This window comes from Homo sapiens, chromosome 9 (assembly GCF_000001405.40).
Source record: "Homo sapiens chromosome 9, GRCh38.p14 Primary Assembly".
Classification (NCBI taxonomy): Eukaryota; Metazoa; Chordata; class Mammalia; order Primates; family Hominidae; genus Homo; species Homo sapiens.
The window spans coordinates 110,438,573-110,452,257 of record NC_000009.12 but is presented as its reverse complement, the minus strand read 5'-3'; the positions used below and the strand labels follow the sequence as shown (position 1 = coordinate 110,452,257).

General features: G+C 38.6%; 1 protein-coding gene across 1 annotated transcript in view; it reads left to right on the top strand.

The window, feature by feature from the left end:
- Positions 1-13,685, top strand: part of SVEP1 (sushi, von Willebrand factor type A, EGF and pentraxin domain containing 1) — a 214,494-nt gene that overhangs the window by 127,484 nt on the left and 73,325 nt on the right. The window contains exons 23-27 of the mRNA NM_153366.4: positions 856-969; positions 1,998-2,199; positions 5,201-5,358; positions 6,220-6,421; positions 8,538-8,713. Coding sequence (NP_699197.3) covers positions 856-969; positions 1,998-2,199; positions 5,201-5,358; positions 6,220-6,421; positions 8,538-8,713 — 852 coding nt within the window. The remainder of the gene's footprint in view (positions 1-855; positions 970-1,997; positions 2,200-5,200; positions 5,359-6,219; positions 6,422-8,537; positions 8,714-13,685) is intronic.

Here is a 13,685-nt window from a genome sequence, read left to right as displayed (position 1 = left end):
ATTAAATTTATTTTGTGGGTTTACTGTGAAAAAACAAGTGTTCATAATGGTCTGTATGAAAGTGTAGATTTTATGTTAGATTTACTGTTCTCAAAAAACAACCTTTATTATGAAATTTCCTTTTAGCATATTTTAATGTCAAGGTACATAAATTATTAGATATGTGTTACATAATGCCATGAGTTATAAATTTAAGCATCCTTGAACTCTTCAACCCAACGAGTCTTTGTACGTCTTTTCTTGAACATGAAGATTTATGGTTCTAGGCTCATTTCTGTGCCTGTCCTTGGCAATGTCACAGACCTCTTTGGATCTGTTTCTAGATGTGTAAAATAAAGGCTATGAATAACATTAGTTGTTCCCAAATTATGTTCACACAAAACATGGGACAGCTGCACAGAAATTTGGCTGTGTTTCCCTAATTTGCAGAAGAAAATGAGTTATTTTCTTCATTCAATATATTTCTCCCATAATTTTTGCCAACTTTGTAACTGTAATGCTGTAACTGTTACCACTTAACTCTAAAGGGAATAAACTCAAAAAGAGAACAACTAGCAAACAAATAAGGAGAAAAAATTTAAAACAAAATCACACATCTTTTTCACTAAAAAAAATATGGTCAGATATTCGTGGTTATCATTTTCCATTGCATGCTGAATATGTTAGGTTTCTTGCTAGAAAAATTTTGCAGTTCACAGAATAGAAGAAACATTTTATTTCAACATGTTTGTCACAAACATGTTAGCCATGATTTCCAATTTCCCTATTCCAATGCCTGAACAACTTGCTTGGAAACTATTGGTCTTAAAGTTCTGTCAAGTTTTCTCCAGCTCAAAGATGAATGATTCTTTGCAGGTCAGCGGTGTGAAGAAAATATAAATGAGTGTAGCTCCAGTCCTTGTTTAAATAAAGGAATCTGTGTTGATGGTGTGGCTGGCTATCGTTGCACATGTGTGAAAGGATTTGTAGGTAAGATGTTTCCAGTCTTCCTATGTTGTCTTAAAATCTTGTAAACCACCACAAATTAGTACATTTCTTAACATATATATTAATGTGAATTTTTGGATTTTATTACTGTATGGTGATTATGTAAGAGAAAGTCCTCATTTTCTGAGGAAATACACACTGAGGGGTTTGGGGTAAAAGGGCATGCAGGTCTGCAATTTACTCTCAAATGGTTCAGCAAAAAATAATTTGTGTATGTGGTGTGTGTGTGTAAAGGCAAACTTTCAAGAAGGAACTGGAGACAAATCATGTAATATCATATTGCAAACAGATGTACAATAATATGGTTTAAAAGTGTATGCTTAATTTCTAAAGAGTAAATCCAAGAAAGTGTCCAGTGAAGGAAAAAGGCAAGATCAAAGAAACAGGCAAGTTTTGAATGGAATTTACTAGCTTTATTTCTTAACATTATCTCAATTAGATGTCTATTACCAAACTTAATTTCAACAAAAAGTAAGATTTAAAAAAGCAGATTATCGGCTGGGCATGGTGGTTCACGCCTGTAATCCCAGCATTTTGGGAGGCCGAGGCAGGTGGATTACTTGAGCTCAGGATTTCAAGACCACCTCGGCCAACATGGTGAAACCCTGTCTCTACTAAAAAAAAAATACAAAAATTAGCCAGGTGTGGTGGTGGGTGCCTGTAGTCTCAGCTACTCAGGAGGCTGAGGCAGGAGAATCGCTTGAACCTAGGAGGTGAAAGTTGCAGTGAGCCGAGATCGCGCCACTGTACTCCAGACTGGGAGAGAGAGCAAGACTCTGTCTCAAAAAAAAAAAAAAAAAAAACAGATTATCAAAAACTCAGAGTCCACAAAAAAATGACTTACAAAAGCCAGAGCCCATTACAGAATGGATCTCAAACCAGTTTGATGGGCTCCACAGCCTCCATTCCAATCCTCTAGAAGCAGCATCCTCCAGGGAGTCAACACTTTAGTTACAGTGTTCCCAGGGAGTTAATCATTTGGGCTGTTTCTCTTCCTTCTCCATCCTCAGGCCTGCATTGTGAAACAGAAGTCAATGAATGCCAGTCAAACCCATGCTTAAATAATGCAGTCTGTGAAGACCAGGTTGGGGGATTCTTGTGCAAATGCCCACCTGGATTTTTGGGTACCCGATGTGGAAAGAACGTCGATGAGTGTCTCAGTCAGCCATGCAAAAATGGAGCTACCTGTAAAGACGGTGCCAATAGCTTCAGGTAAAAGGCTAAGTCTGATTCTTTTCACTGTTTTTATTTTTTAAACTATTCAGTGATTCTGCAGCCTTTATGGAGTATTGCTTTGAGTCTCAAGTCAGTCATTCTCAAATGCTGGCCCGAGGATAGGCTACAGCTGAATATTCCCACCGCCATTTCTGCTTCACTAAGCCTGAAGTAGAGCCTATCATTTTAAAATAGGCAACCTGTTATGGCTTAAGTTTCCCAATGATTCTGATGCACAGCCATGTTTGGGAACTAACGTTCTATACTTGGGAAGTCATAAAAGATGAAATATAATTACTCAGAAGCAAATACAGTAGTACTAGACAAAGCCCATATTTTAATTATTTATTTATTTTTATTTTTTTATTTTCTGAGATGGAATTTTGCTCTTGTCTCCCAGGCTGGAGTGCAATAGCACGATCTCGGCTCACTGTAACCTCTTTCTCCCGGTTTAAAGCGATTCTCCTGCCTCAACCTCCCAAGTAGCTGGGATTACAGGTGCCTGCCACCACGCCTGGCTAACTTTTGTATTTTTAGTAGAGACGGGGTTTCACCATGTTGGCCAGGCTGGTCTTGAACTCCTGGCCTCAGATGAGCCACATGTGCTTTAGCTAAAGTTTTTATACCAGATAAAATCAAAATGGAATCTGCAATCATACTGTGATAGTGCTCATCTTTATTCTATGTCCATGATTTTCAAACTTTTTTTTTTAGTTTAGTAACCTTTGGTTCAAAAGAAATCTAACATGAATGTAAAAAAGTAAAATAATCAAAGCTAAGCTTTTGTGGCTGAAAATAGTAGTATTTGAGGGGCAGAAAGACTATGTCTCCCTGAGGCAGCTCTTAGGTGCCAGTAGAATACAGTTTGAAAAACAACCCTCTCCTGTTGTCATTATCAAGACTATCCCATTCCATCCCCCACTCTTTGCAGGGAAGTACAGAAGACAGCACATCTGTAGTATACAAGATAGATTTCTCTTGCTTGCAAAATTTTAGAAAACTGTATTGTCCTCAAGATGCTGCTGGTTTTATAAGTTTGCAAAAGTAAAAACCAAAAAGAAAAAAAAGATCTAGCCCAATTGCAACATTTCCCAATCCCCTTTCTTCTAGTTCAGCCCCCTTCCATTACCATCCTCCCACAAACAGCCAAGGCGCTATCCAGAAGAAATAAGAAGGCAACTCTGCCAATGAGACTTTCACCTACAATGTGGAAATGAGGTCTTATCATGTAGCATCACTTTCTCATGGGTGTTTGACATTTTCTGGCATATAGTACATAACTGTAGACAATGAGAAATTTCCAGATGAACAACAAGAGTTCTAAACTCTTTCCTGGGTTTAAAACGATTGATGAATACCAAAGTTGTCTAAATCCTAACTAGAAGAAAGGTGAAGGTACACGCTCCCAATTCAGAAGGAACATAGGTTGTTGACAAAGTGAATCTATTTCATAGATGAGGATATGATAGTGTTGTAATGACACCAAACACAGGAGGATAAAGGTGAGTGAAATTATAGTCAAAATAGATTTACCGTCAAATGCAGAGACCCAGTAAAGATCCCTCAATTCCAACTGAGATTTTGTTTACATCCTCCAAACACCAGTTATTCCTATTAGACACTGTTAGGTCAATATCAAAGAGGTCTTCGTATGACATGCTAGTAACAATAACATTAACTCGCATTTATTGGACCAGTCCTTTTAAATTACAAAATATTTCAGTCACACGGAAAATTACAATAATAAAAGTCATGTACTGATCACTGTGATTATCAAACCTTAATATTTTGCCATATTTGATTCACATCTTCTGTTTTAAAGACGTAAGTTTTAAAGGTAGGGCTGGATTCCCTCCAACATAGACACATGCATACACACGCGCGAGCGCGCGCACACACACACGCGCACACACACACACACACACATTCACTTTCTTCCCCCAGCAGTAATCACCGTCCTGCAGTCTGAATATATCTTTCTTATTCAGGTTTTATATTTTGCTACATATATGACTTCTATAAACAGTATATAAGTTACATGTTACATAAGTGGTATCATAACATACATATTCTTTTTGCAATTCGGTTTTTTTTTCCACTCAGCATGATATTTTCAAGTATTATCAAGGAGGTTACATTTGGCTTTGGTTTGTTCATTTCAATTGCTCCTTAGTATTCCATTACATGATGGAATTAACTACACCATGATTCATTTTCTCATTCTCCTCTCCATAGACATTTAGAATGATCCTGCTATGAACATTTGTTATATGGGTCCCTGTGCACCTTGTGCAATTATCTCCTAGAGCAGAAAACAAGAAATGGATTTATAGGGCTCTGGGAACACAAACTCTCAACTTCTCATGACATTGCCAAATTGTAGTCTTACTCACTATATGGGACTTCCTATTTTATGACACTCTTGTCAACATTTGACATTACCAGATATACTTTCCATTCTGATGAGTTTAAAATGGTTTGTTGCATAGCACAGAAACTATATAGCATCCTGATTAAGAAAAAGAGTATAGGTTGATTCAAAACCCCACTCCACCACTTGGTAGCAATAGAACTTGGGTAAATTCTTTAATCTTTCTGAGCCACAGTTTAGCTTATCTGTAAAATGGGAATAATACTAGTATTACCTCATTGTTATGAAAATTGGCTTAACATATAAAAGCCTTTAGAACAGCATTTGAACTTTTCATATTTTTCTGAGAACTCCTATGAGGAGAGAAACCACAATGTATGAATTATATTTCACCTGTACCAGAACTACTTTCTACTTTATTTTTGCTACTGCACATTTCTAATACATCTTGTCTTACATAGATTTAATCAAGTGAACTGGAAAAAGTAACCTGCAATTAAAGCACTGTTTTGGTGTAGAAAATGTGTTCCAGCATTTCAATTTTCAAAGTCTTTCGAGATAAGATTATCATAAATGGGAGACTTCCTACAACTGTTCTAATTGTTACAACATTTTGTTTTCTTTCAGATGCCTGTGTGCAGCTGGCTTCACAGGATCACACTGTGAATTGAACATCAATGAATGTCAGTCTAATCCATGTAGAAATCAGGCCACCTGTGTGGATGAATTAAATTCATACAGTTGTAAATGTCAGCCAGGATTTTCAGGCAAAAGGTGTGAAACAGGTATGTATCAACTCAGTGTTATTAATAACAATACTAACAATAGTAATATAATAACAATAATACCAATTTTGCCTGCACCAAGCAGTGTCCGTAGGCCAAAAACGATGCCAAGCACTTTGTACTCATTTAATCTTCACAGCCATCCAACAAACTAGGTACTACTACTATTATCCTCAGTGGCACAGATGATGAAATTAAAGCTTAAAAATTTAGGGGGGAAATAGAGAAAATTGAATTTAGTAGAACTCTTCATGTTCTACTTATTTATAATAGAAATGATACTTTGATAAGCCGCTTGACTTCAGAGGTGAGACTCCATGGACATGTTTGAGAATCAGCAGATCAAATCTAAATACTTTCTCAGGAGACTGGAGTCTTTTAGCTGTAAGACTTGTTTTATTGAGTGGTCTGTGCAGGTTTGGGGCAGAGCTGAATTGCTCATGAAATAGGGAAAAGCCAGAGCCTTGAGTAGGGCAGCATGTTGCCCTTGCAGCACCTCCTCCTTCTCTCCTGTGACATCAATTACTTCCTCTCTACTGAGTCATTCTCATCAGCATACAGACATGCTTTAGTATCTCCTGGCTTTAGTAGCATTTCAGTTTCACCTCTCCTTCCAACTACTTCCTGTTTCTCTGCTTCCTTTCACTATTGAATGCTTTTCCTATCTTATATACTCACTGGTTATTTTATTTAAAAGAATGCACTATGTATTTTGTAAATAATATGTATTTAATTTTGAAACTGCTTCTTAGATAATCATATTCACTGAAATGAGCTTCTTTGACAATAGCACTGCTTCCTCTGACAATTGGAAATGTCTTTCAAGTGCCACAGTCTGCACACTTTTCTTATTCATTGCAGAACAGTCTACAGGCTTTAACCTGGATTTTGAAGTTTCTGGCATCTATGGATATGTCATGCTAGATGGCATGCTCCCATCTCTCCATGCTCTAACCTGTACCTTCTGGATGAAATCCTCTGACGACATGAACTATGGAACACCAATCTCCTATGCAGTTGATAACGGCAGCGACAATACCTTGCTCCTGACTGATTATAACGGGTAAGCAGAAGTGTCGGGAAGGCTATGCTTAAGATCTTATCTTGGAACCGAATTAGAACTGACATTGAGGATGGGAAATGGGAAAGTAGAGGGTCAGGTGTTCCCAGAAAACAGCAGGGTGTCAATAATCAAATGGAGCATCTGAACAAGTTCTTTAAGAACGTAAATTTTTAGTGATAATACCTCAAACATGTATTGTGTTTTGCTGTTTACTAAGTCTTTTCATATGTATTACTTCATCTGATAGTCACAATGACCTGAGGAGCTGTGCCCATTTTATAGACAGTAGAATAAAGTTTCAGAAAGTCTAAATGACTTGCCCCAGATCTCACACCTTGGGAGTAGCAGGGCTAAGTCTCAAACTCTGACTCAAATACTGATGCTCTTTCTTTTATATAATAGGATCTCTAAAAGTTAAGGGATTTCAGTGACATCATTGACCTTGGGAGACAAGTGTATTGCATACAAATCAGTATACAAACTCAGTGTGCATATTTTTTTTAGAATCCACTAATTCCAACTCCAGGGCCCCATCGCCATGGGTTGTCAGGAGAGCCAACCTTAGTTGTACCCAGAGTCTTGCCAAAGAGCCACGGACTTGAGCAGGACTTCCATCGTTGGCCAACTGTCCACATTATTTATCACTGAGCTGTCCACTGACCCAGCGTTTGTGGTCCCTTTAAAACCACTGCTTTTTTAAACATGTGAAATCCTTGGCAAAACTTCAGGTTCATAACTTCCGTGTGGTTAGATTCTGTGGTGCACCACATGGCCTTTTCCTCTCAGATCCACTGAAATCGTTGGCCTACTTATGAGCAGGTTGTTGGTGTTCAAAACCCACTGAGCTTTTTTTTCTATCCCCAATCCAAGGGAATCTCACTATTCTGGTAGAAGTCTCCCATCCTCAAATACTATTCTTCTTAATGTACTTGATCTGTCAAAAACAAAAATCCAAGAAGTTTGCAAAAACCCTCCTTTGAGACAAAATATATATAAAGAGAGAATCTGTCGCCTCCTTGAATAAGGAGAGAAACTGGAAAAATGCAGAAAGGAAACCATTAATATTGCAAAAATATTATTTTTTCATAAACCTCTGTAAACAGGATCTGATAAGATGCTGGGAGAAGTGGTCAATGAATTTTTATCTTCATTATCAACTTTCTCTAATCGTTTCTTTTTCTCCATTTGATTTTGAAGACTTTTTACTTTAAACTGCTTATTAGCTTTGTCATTTCCCTGAATGACACAGTTATTGGAAATATCTTCTGGCTGGCCATCCTTGTTGTTTCAATTATTCTTTTCTTTGGATCAGCATACTTTGTCTGACATATGACTACATGAGCAACTGTCTTAGTCCATTCAGGCTGCTATAATAAATAGCATAGACTTGGTGGCTTGTAAAGAACAGAAATATATTTCTCACAGTTCTGGAGGCTTCAAGATCAAGGTGCCAGCATAGTTAGTGTCTGGGGAGGCCCTACTTTCCTGTCCACGATGGCACCTTCTTACTCTGTCTTCACATGGCGAAGGTGCAAGTGGTCTCTTCAGAGCCTTCATGACCTAATCACTTCCCAAAGACTCCACCTCCTAATCACATTGGTGATTACATTTCAATATATAAATTCTGAGAGCATACAAATATTCAAACCATAGCAGCAACCATCAAACAGACTAATTGTTTGTTTGATGAAGTATCTATGAAACATCTGAAATTTGTTCTTGGTCTTAAGAAACTTACATTCTGGAAGAAGGATGTCAGTTTGACATTTACACAATTCTCACCCTTTCCATTCTTGACTCATTCTCTCCAAAACAGCCAGTTGGTAAATTCTCTCAAATTGGAGCAACTTCTCTTGGCTCATCCTAAGACTTTTTCCTACCCCTCAGTGTTTAAGAAACACAAACCAATTTTCAGTGAGCTACAATAAAGTATAATTAGTAAATCAAATCTGCTTCTACAAAATGTGACCAAATGGAGAAAAAAAAAGAGTAATGGATTTACACAAAGTACTTTACCCACAAAAAAAGAAAAAGAAGAAAAATTGTAGCATGCCCCACAGTAAGGATTGCAACATATGGCTAATGACTACATTCCCTGGAATCTTTCTCTCTACAGCTGGGTTCTTTATGTGAATGGCAGGGAAAAGATAACAAACTGTCCCTCGGTGAATGATGGCAGATGGCATCATATTGCAATCACTTGGACAAGTGCCAATGGCATCTGGAAAGTCTATATCGATGGGAAATTATCTGACGGTGGTGCTGGCCTCTCTGTTGGTTTGCCCATACCTGGTATGTTTTAACAAAATGAGTATAATTCTGTTGGACTCTAGAGGTGATGCTGCTTAAATGGACATCAGGTTTGCTAGCATTGTTGTTCTTGGTTTCAAACAAAGATTAACAGCTATCTCTCTTATTTCCTACTCCCTGATTATCCTAACTGTGGGTTATTAGAAGCTTTTTTCCTAAGTAAGCTGTTTGCCTCTCTGTGTGAGAAATGCCTTTGAAGATCTACATTAAGACTACCAAGAAGCATGCTGAATTAGCAGCTGGTTGCTAAACTGTCTTCTAAGGAGATTAATTACTGGTATTTTTTGTTTATTTTAAGGATTGTTTTGTTTTGTAATCAGTATATAAGCAGGACCACTGCTATCCATCTTTTATGGCCCTTTTCAAATAGATCTTGGCTTGTCTTCTAAAAAATACTTTTTAATAAATATCCCAGGAGTTTTAGTTTGAAGAATTGCAAACTAAATTTCATTAGGTGACCCAGGTTCTCAGCATTGTACATGGCAATAAGCTTGTTCTATCTGGATACATCTATAGAAGTATATGCATATGACATTATTTTTTACTTTGCTCATTTGTTTCAGGTATACTAAAAGAAAATTAAATAGACAAAAATGAATTAAAGTATTAGAAACTGACTAATACATTCTAGAAGTAAGTTGTATGAAACTAGGATACGTATACTAATAAATATAGCACAAAAATACTAAACTTCATAAAAATGCGGTGAGATGACCCTTGCGAAGCCTCAAATACAATACTTATTTTATTTATTAGAAATTATTGGCCAGGTACGGTGGCTCACGCCTGTAATCCCAGCACTTTGGAAGGCTGAGGAGGGTGGATCACGAGGTCAGGAGTTGGAGACCGCCCTGGACAATATGGTGAAGCCCTATCTCTACTAAAAACGCACAGAAAAATTAGCCAGGCATGGTGGTAGATGCCTGTAATTCCAGCTACTCAGGAGGCTGAGGCAGGAGAATCGCTTGAACCCAGGAGGCGAAGATTGCCGTGAGCCGAGATCATGCCACTGCACTCCAGCCTGGGCAATGGAGAGAGGCTCTGTCTCAAAAAAAAAAAAAAAAAGAAAAAAGAAAGAAATTATTGTCCATGTATTGTTTCACTTTAATACTACGAAGATCCATGCGGATCAAACCAAAATTGATCTACTTGTGAATGTAAAGAATACGTCCTAAGCACTCACTAGGAAAGCCAGGCACCTATGCAAGGCACTGGAAACCCAATGGTGGGCAAAAGTCGTGTGGTCCCTGCTCTCCAGATGCTTTTATTGTGGTCAGAGAGTGAGGTGTTCATCACATAATCACACTAAATGCTGTGTAATTTCACACTGAGGCAAGCACTATGGTGGAAAGGAACATCATTCTATGAAAGCCTGTACCCAAGGAGCTGATGTAGAATGGGGAGTCCATCGAGGCTTGTGGATATGTCCCTAACTCTCCAGGGTGATCAGGCACTAATTTAGTGAAGGAGCCTGGGCCTTGTTGAAAGCGCTAGAAAAAGATTGATGTATCTGAAATGCAGGCTGAAAGAGGGAAGGCAAGGCATGCAGGTAGAGAGGGCGGACATGGCCAAATCACGTAAAGCCATGTGGTGTAGGTTAAGGATTGAGGTTTTCACCCTAAAATCAATAGGGAGTTACTGAAGCATTTTAAGATGGATGGGGGAGATGGCAGGAAGGGTAGCTTAGGTGGTTCTGTCACGAGCAGAAAGAAGTAATAGGGTGTATGTGAAAATTCCTAAACAACAAAGAGGTTTCCAACCAGAGGACAAAAGGACTCCCCAGTGCAGGGACAGCACTGAGAGTTAATATCTGAACTCTAAGAAGCATTTATTATGCTTCTCCTGGGAGGGAAACTTGGGACAAATGAAAAATAAAAGAGAAAGCCACTCTTCCTTAAACCCCAGAATCACTGAAGAGAGGAATGAAACATACAGACAGATCCCTGGATGTGTATCCACACACTGAGCATTTGCCAAGCGCCAATCCAGCCAGTAAGGCAACATCTGAGTGTTGAGGTTCCAGAAATGGAAGACCCAAAGGACAGAGCTGTAGAGTCAAGGACACATGAATTTTGTTATGAGGAGAGGGCAGAGAAGGAGGCTCAGGATGTTTAATGAATTTAGGGAGCAAGGGTGATTTATAAAGAAATGGATTGGGGAGATTAATTTGGAGGGGAAGGAAAGAGAAACACAGACAAACTAGAAACATTAGGTTGTTGTAAGATGGGAGTATTGGGAGATTAATATAGAGGCTGCTTTTGAAAATCATATAATTATTTCATAATACTAGGGCAATATCTAATAAGATAATTTTGATGAAATCACTCTTGATAAATTTAAAACGTGGTCTATCATCCTTTGCTTCTTTGTAAAATATGCTTGAACAGGAAGCCAGTGCCAAAACCAAAACTTCCTTGTAATACCATTTATGCCTAATTACCCAAATATTTTTACAAAATTTACACAATATTTTTGTCACAATGATCATGTGAGTTTAATAGAGTAGTTATGCTACTATTTTAGAAATGAAGAAACAGAGAATTCCGGACGAGTTAAAATGAGTCTCTCAAATTGCATTCCTATGGCCTAACTCTTTTAATTTATGGCTGTGCCCTTTTCATGGCCCCTTCTGCCTTCACCACTTAGATTAGCTTATTGATACATGCCCACAGGTGGAGCAGGTGTGGGACCATTAGAAGCTGTAGCACTCAGAATGGAAGAGGGGACCTCAGGGGATGTGGATGGACACCCTCAGTATCTACCATACACATCACGCTAGACAATTCTTTCTGGCATTCTACCCACTCCTTTGCCTAGAAACTCTCTATATCTTCCTTCTGCATGAGATTAACTCTTAATCCTCAAGATCCAGGTCTGAAAGATTTCCCTGAGCCCAGCCCTTTCTCACTGAGCTTTTTCTTTCAGTTCTTCTTTGACTCTGCATGCCTCCATTGCTGCATTAACCACACTGTATCGGAAAGTATTTATGCATGAATTTTCCCTTAGAATTATCATCTCTTAGAAGAAGAAATGTTTTTTCATCTGTCTAAGTCCAGTGCCTGGTATTGTCGACAGCACATTATTGGTAGCTTCATAAACATCTGCTGAATTTAACCAGCCTGTGTCTTGAAGGATGAGTCAGAAGAACAGGGAAAGGCAGCTCAGACAGAAGGAGCTCTGCGTGCAGAGGCAGGGAGCCATGAATGGGGTTTGTGTGAGGAAGAATGGTTGGCTGATCCCCAAAGTAGTAGCATAGTGTATATAGAAGAGAAGAAAAGGAAGACGTGATAAAGAAGCTGAAACATAACATAGTGTTGGGCTGTAATGAGCCTGTTTATGTTCCCCAAGAAATGCACATTTTCTCCTTCAGTGAATTAACAGACATTAAAGGTATTTCAAAAGGAAATGGCATTATCAAGTGAGGTGGGGCAGTGGTTTGTGTTCATTTCATTTAGTGTGTTCTTGTTTTCAACTATCTCTTCTCTAAGTGGTGCGATTACAGGTGATTTTTATTGACTTCATTTTATGTTATTTTCATAATGAACGTATATTTATTTTCTGGTTAAAAAAAGCATTTTTATCTTTAAAATATAAACAATGATGGAAGAGTAAAAAGTAGATTGAAGGAACAGGAAAATAAAACCAAGAAACTCTTACAGTAACCACCTAAGGAAATAGCTTGCTGACCAGAGGCATAAGGATGGCCAGGATGTTTGAGAATCCATAAATATTGCAGAGTTCCAATTGACACCCTTCGTGGCTGTCTTAGTCTGCTTGGGTTACCATAAAGAAATACCATACACAAAGTGGCTTAAATAACCAACATTGGCCGGGCGCAGTGGCTCACACCTGTAGTCCCAGCACTTTGGGACGCTGAGACAAGTGGATCACCTGGGGTCAGGAGTTCAAGACCAGCTTGGCCAACATGGTGAAACCCCGTCTCTACTAAAAATACAAAAAAAAAAATTAGCCGGGCGTGGTGGCAGGTGCCTGTAATCCCAGCTACTCGGGAGGCTGAGGCAGGAGAATTGCTTGAACCCAGGAGGCAGAGGTCGCAGTGAGGTGAGATTGCGCCACTGCACTCCAGCCTGGGCAACAAGAGTGACACTCTGCCTCAAAAATAAAAAAAATAAAAATACCCGAAATTAATGTTCTTGTAGTCCTGCAGGCTAGAAGTCTGAGATCAGGGTAGCAGTATGGTTGGTTCCTGGTGAGAGCCCCCTTCCTGGCTTGTAGACAGCCACCTTCTCACTGTATCCTCACATGGCAGGGAGAGAGAGAGCAAGCTTTCTGGTGTCTCTTCTTATGCAGGCATTTGTCCCATCACGTGGGCCCTACCCTCATGAACTCATCTAAATCCAATCACCTCCCAAAGGCTCCATCTCTAAATATCACCATGGTGGGAGTTAGGGCTTCAACATATAAATTTGGCGGGGACACAGTTCAGTGCATAGCAGTGAATGACTGGCTTCAGTTTGAGTGACCAAGTTTATTGAAGAGTCTGTTAGCTAAAGTAAGAATTCTAAAAAACGGAGTTGGTGAGAGGGGAAAAGATTGTGTATATGGTTTTCGACATACTGAGTTTAAGGTCTATGTTGAATTTCTAGTCACGAAAATACAGCTAAAGATATAGGTGTGATACTGCTTTATATCAAATTGGCAAAGTTGTTTTTAGTGACACCATAAAACTGGCTAGGATTCAGCATAGCAAACCTGTGTATAGAGCGCTGGCAAGTATGTAAGTTGATACAGTCTTTCTGGGAAACAATTTAGAAACTCGTATCAAAAGCCTTAGAGAAATTCTTTGCCTGCAACCATCAGTTTAACTACCAGAAATCAATCTAATGGAAATAATCAATAATTCAAACATACGTATAATTATGTATAAATAAACAGGTTTATCTCAGTGTCATTTTAGTATTAAACTTAGAAACAAGGCCAACATCCAGTAATA